Source organism: Homo sapiens, chromosome 8 (genome assembly GCF_000001405.40).
Source record: "Homo sapiens chromosome 8, GRCh38.p14 Primary Assembly".
Taxonomy (NCBI): domain Eukaryota; kingdom Metazoa; phylum Chordata; class Mammalia; order Primates; family Hominidae; genus Homo; species Homo sapiens.
In genome coordinates this window covers 64,409,184-64,415,072 of record NC_000008.11, presented here as the reverse complement: position 1 = coordinate 64,415,072, position 5,889 = coordinate 64,409,184, and the positions used below count along the sequence as shown (strand labels likewise).

The 5,889-nt window shown below is 39.1% G+C and overlaps 1 annotated feature.

Annotated features, from left to right (window-relative positions):
- Positions 3,888-5,087: an enhancer, noted in NCBI's record as "MED14-independent group 3 enhancer chr8:65322543-65323742 (GRCh37/hg19 assembly coordinates)". NCBI's record gives its function as "activates an origin of replication core promoter dependent on BRD2, BRD4, P300/CBP and CDK7 cofactors, and independent of MED14, by STARR-seq in HCT116 cells {active_cell/tissue: HCT116}" and the evidence as "EXISTENCE:reporter gene assay evidence [ECO:0000049][PMID:35650434]".

The window sequence follows — 5,889 nt, the reverse complement described above, 5'->3', positions numbered from 1 at the left end:
AGACATCTAGATGTGGAGGAGAGAAAGGGCAGGAGATGAAAGGAGAGTGGATCAAGATAGGGTTTATTTTATTTTGTTTTGTTTTCAATTTTGAGACAGGGTATATCCCTCTGTCACCCAGGCTGGAGGGCAGTGGTGCAATCATAGCTCACTGTAGCCTCAAACTCCTGGGCTCAAGCAATTCTTTCTCCTCAGCCTCCTTAGTAACTAGGGCTACAGGCACGCAACACCACACCTGGCTAATTTCATTTATTTATTTATTTTTGTAGAAATGGGTTTCTTGCTCTGTTGCCCGGGCTGATTTCAAACTCCTGGCCTCAAGTGATCCTCCCTCTTCGGTTTCCCAAAGCGCTAGGATTACAAGCATGAGCCACCATGCCTGGCCAGGATAAGGCTTTTTAACGAGGAGAGATACTTTATCAAATATAAACACTTGAGAAGAGGCCAAGAGAGAGAGAAAGATTGGGAGACAGAGGGAGAAGGGTAATTATTGATCAAGGGAGGTCCCTGGGGAGATGGCACCCAGAATACAGAAGGAAGATTGCTTTTACTAAAGAGCAAGGATCCCTCTTCCACTAAAAGAGAAAGAAAAAAGGAAGGATAGAAACAGATGAGTAGCTATAGCAGCACGAATTTCCACAGCTGATAATTAGGGAGCCGGGATTTGAATGCAGATAGTCTGGTTCCAGATGCTGCACTTGTAATCACTATCTCATGCACTCTTAGTTCTGAGTGTTGCCTGTCAACTCAGCAAACACTTGTTACCTAGGCCTGGAATGAAAACTACCACCGTTTCTGTAGAGTAAGTGTTTCTTCTACCCAGCAGCCCCTGAATTTAACTGTGAAATTTCACCCCAATTCTCAGACCAATTCACCATTTCATCTCATTCATTCAACAGGTACTCATTGAGAGCCTGCTCTGCTCTTATCTCTAGGGATCAGATGGTCATCCTGAACAAATAAAGCACTGCCTTCTTATCATCATATAATATAGTGAGAGAAGCCAACATCATCATAATAATCTCTCCAATAAATATAAGGGCACAATGTGGTTATTGGTATGAAAGAAAAGCACATTGTGCTCTCAAAGCCTCCAACAGGAGAACTGGATTCAGTTTGAGCTTTGGTAAAGGCTTCCCTGAAAAAGTGACTTTCAGTTGACTAGTCACTGATGGGCTAATCAGTATTAACTGATGAAAGGGAGGAGGAGAGAGAAAGAATCGTTGGCAGAGAGAACAATACTGAGAAGAGGCTATAGACATGGGAGGAAAAGAAAGCCACTGTAGACACATGAGGAAGGGGGTGTGGTCCGCGGTGAGACTGAACAGTGAGGAGGCAGCTAGGACATCCAGGGTTCTGGGAGTGGGATCAAAGAATTGAAAGGTTATAAGCAGGGAGAAGGGAGGGGCTGATGGTGCATCATTAGATGAACATTGGAAAAGATGATCCTGTCTAAAAAGATGATTGGAAGCAAGGCAGAGGCTAGCTAAGAGGCTCCAGCAACAGTCCATGTTAGATAATGCTAACCTGAGCTAAGGAGCTGGAGAGGGAGAGTACGGATTTGACAGATGTTTTAGAGTTAGTGGGAGATATGAAATGACATAAAGAGAAAGGTGTTTTGAACAACGTGAGGAGTTTTGAGGTAATGTTCAGCTTATAACATGTTAGTTTCCAGCTCAAAGCCAAGGAGATTTATATAAACGGTTCCATTCTGATGACAGAAGGCATTCATAGTGGGCATTTTATCCAACAGAGTTTACAGACACATTATAGAATGCTCTTCCATTGGAATAGAGCCATACCCCAGCATTTCCTATGTGGTATAGATTTGTATGATATAAAACAACAGCAATAACTGCAGCATTTTCAGTTAATGGATTCTTTATGGTTGAGGAAGAAAACTCAGTAAAGATCAAGTTATGAGAATATTGTCAATCGATCCAGAACTTTATGCAACTTGTAGGCTAATTTAGATATCAGGAATTGATTGGTCTTGTGTAACTAGAATGCAAAAAAGGACCAATGTGGGGTATAAAAGTGAATGACTTAAGAAGAAGAAAGTCTGACTATGAGGATGCTAGACTCAGTGTGGTCCAATAGAACTGTCTAGAAAGACAGAAATATTCCATATCGTGCTGTCCAACACAATTGGCACCAGCTACATGTCATTATGGAGTAATTTAAAGGTGGCTAGTGTGACCATGAAACTAAATTTAAATTTTTTATTTTAATAAATTTAGATTTAAATGTAAATAGTTTATATGGCTAATAGTGGTTTATTAGAGAACAAACATCTAGACCACAATAAGAAAAGTACACAAGGCTCCCTTGGCCAAAAGTTTCATTGGTAATCCAGTTAATACCAGAACTGCAATCTCATCATTTATTATTTGAAACATATAATTGTGTTTAATTTAACTGTTAATAATTTTACATGACTGCAAACTTTCATAACCCATTGCCATACCTAACACATTATAATTGTTTGGAAAGTGTTGGATGGAATGGATTCTAATAAATGAAAAAATGCTATAAAGCAGTTGGCATTGTGATTGCTAAATACCGAGAGTTCCATAAATATTAGCTATTATTATTATCATTATTTATAATGTCCAAGTAAACTTATAGTCTGTTTTGTGAAGTTGTGAGTTAAGTCATGCTTTAAAAAGAAGAAACGGAACTGGCCAGATCACCTCAATATGTTGTTTGCTGCAGTTCTGTGTCCTTTCCCTTAAAAAGCTCCAGGAAATCCCTCTTTCCCGGAGAGCACAGCCTGATTCCCGCTTAACTGAGAACAGCTTCACTGAGAGAGGTGTCTCCGTGCATGGTCTCTCTTGGTATTCTGTAATTTAAATTGAATGTTGCTCTAAGTGTATAAACAGTACCCTTATAATATTATGTACCAAAGGAAAATAAGAATACTAGCAAGATAAAATTAACTGCCAGCTTCTATCCAACATGTTTAGGATGACAACAGCACAAGGAATATGGTATCTGGCATATGAGGGAGCACCCTGAACAGTGTTCAGGAGGGACTGCCTCATGTAGCTTTTCTTTTCTGCTCTTCTAAGCTTGTTGATTATTTTTCAAGTCATAAAATAAATCCCCAAACTCTTCCCACAGGCTTCCTGTTATGGCAATGGAAAGGATTCTAAGAAAGGATGCCAACAGGCCAGATGTCATCTTTTTTGGTGGGCTGTACACATCAGACTGGACTTGCCTTAAATGAGGTCAGTTGGCAAAGGACTGACAAGAGATCATCATTTCCGGAGCATCTGCCCCTGAGCTGGGAGATGTACTAGGTGCTCAAAGTTTACTACAGCTAGAGAAACTGAAGACTTGCCATTCTGAGTTTGGGGAAGAAACAGGGAAATAGTGAGGAAAAGAGAATTCACCTGAAAAAGATGAGGGAAAGAAGCCAAATTGTCCTCTTCCCTTGGTTTGATTCCGAACTTCGCAAGAATGGCCCTGTTGACATTCTGGACTGGATAATGCTTTGCTGCTGGGGAAGACGGGGTTTGTCCCATGCACTGTAGGATATTTAGCAATATCTCTGGCCTCCATTTATTAAATTCAGAAGTAGTACCCCTCCCCCAATTCATGACAATCAAAAGTGTTTCCAGACATTACCAAATGTCTTCTGGAGGGTAAAATAGCTCCTGGTTCTGAACCACTGGTTTATTGAAGTAGCACTGGGAATGTACATGACTTGTGGGCCATGTGCTGAGTGACACAGACAAATAAAATGGGGACAGTGGTCAAAAGGAAGTTCTTCTTTGTCCTTATTTTTAATAAAAGAAAAAGTCTCAGAGGCATGGTGAGGACTAAGCAGCAAAGCACATCTTAGAGACTGTTTATGTAATTAGGAATTTGTTCTTACATAGAAAGTGGAGAGAGAGTGAGCAGCCTGCTCTTAGACCAAGGGCAGAACTGGAGCCTAAAAGACAAAAGCCTAACCATTGCTGAGCCCCAGGTATGTTTGTTGAGTCTACATAGTAGACTCTCCTTCAAGCTGTGTTCTAGCTAATTCTGTACAGTTTTCACAGAAGCAGTTCTTCCAATTTGTTCTTCTGGGGGCACTGGCGGCTGGCTGTACTACACTCTCCAGACTTGAGGTTATGCAGCAACACTTCCCTTTATTGCCCACCACCAATTCAGCTCACAGCTTCACCTCTACTTTAAAACTTTACCTTAACAAGAAAAATAGATTCCCTAGGGAACTTTTTATTACAGAGTGTCAGTTCCTACATAATATTATATCTCGTAACTGTAATGGATAATCATCCCAAAGATGGGGCTATTTAGCTCAAGATTGGAGAGACCGTAGTCTTTAAATAAAATATGCAATAAAAAGATTTAGAAAATCTTAGAAAGAAATCTGCTATATTTATTTTTAAATGCAGATATATATGTATATATAAAATATTTTATGTGCAGAAAATTTTAACTTAAAAAGTTAACAATAGATAAAATGATTACGCCTTTATTTTCCTTTTCTCCATTATAGATTCAGACAATCCTCTTTGCCAAATGTCCAACAAGAAAGGAGCAGTTATGCAGAACTTGTGGTAGAAGGAGGGAAACTGAGGACCTTAGACATCTCTGTCTGATGAGTAACTGCTACCAGTCACAGCTTGGAGAGCTGGACACTTCACCACTCAGGTATGGAAGGTGAAGGCCATGTTTTTATCCTATTAATTGCTTCTTTTTTAAAAGAATTGCTGTTTTTGGATAAATTGAAATCAAAGTTTCAATCTCAGGTCAACAGATGTCTGAAAATAACAGCAAGAAAGAAATGAAAAAGAATCTCCCACAGAGGTATGTTATATCATTTCCCCGCAAGTCTTTTAACACAGGGTGGATGAACAGCTCTCTAGCATTATGTGAATGGGAGGCTGCCTAAAGGAAGGGAAATGGGTTGGATAATTTGGGGACTCCCTCAGCTAATTTAGAAAATTCTCTGTTTTTTTCAATGGTGTGGGTTCTTGGAAGAAAATGAAGAGCATGGGGAAGAATCCTCAAGAGATTGCAAGCTCTGATCAAGTGTGCTCCTAAAGGGAAACATTGAAGACAGTCTTTAAAACAAACAAACAAAAAACAAATAAAAAGCCTATTCTGAAAGTCCATATTAAATTCTTATTTATAGATACTAATAGATGGTAGCTCATGGAGTTAGGGGCAAATAGAGGTGCTTAGGAAAGGTCTGCTCCTATCAGAAAAGGTATGATTTGAAATATTATAATTTAATTTTAACCTAATGCTCTTTTTGCAAATATCTTCCACCACCTTCTCTAAACTCAGAGCTCCCTAGTATAAACAGTTTTCTGTGCTTGTTATAGTAGAGTTACCTCAGGTCTCCAGGTCTCACTGGCCCAGGGAGGACAACAAAGCCATTGCCAAACAAAGGTACAGTAATGCCCAGAATGCTCATTGTATTAAATTCCTTCCATCTGATTAAGAAGACATTGGGGAGTCTCCTTTGTCCTCCTGAAAACCATGATGCTCTATGCCCATGCTGTATGGAATGTATTATTTTCTCTTTAATTCCTAATACGCTGTTCCCTGATCACTGCATTGGCAGCCTTGAGCTCTAAGTTTTCTTTCCTAGAGCTTTTAAAATGTTTATTTATTTGACTCAAACTTTACTAGAGATTCTAATTCCAGATTAAGGGCCTTGACTTCAGTAACCAGATTCAACAAATAAAATACTGGATCCCCCATTAAATTTGAATTTTAGGTAAACATTGATTTTTTTTTTTTTTGGTATAAGTATGTCCCAAATATTGAATGGGATGTACTTCACTAAAAAAAAAAAAGAAAAATGTTTCTAGTTGATCTGAAATTCAAATGTAACTGGGCAGCCTGCATTTTATATGGCAAGCCTACCCA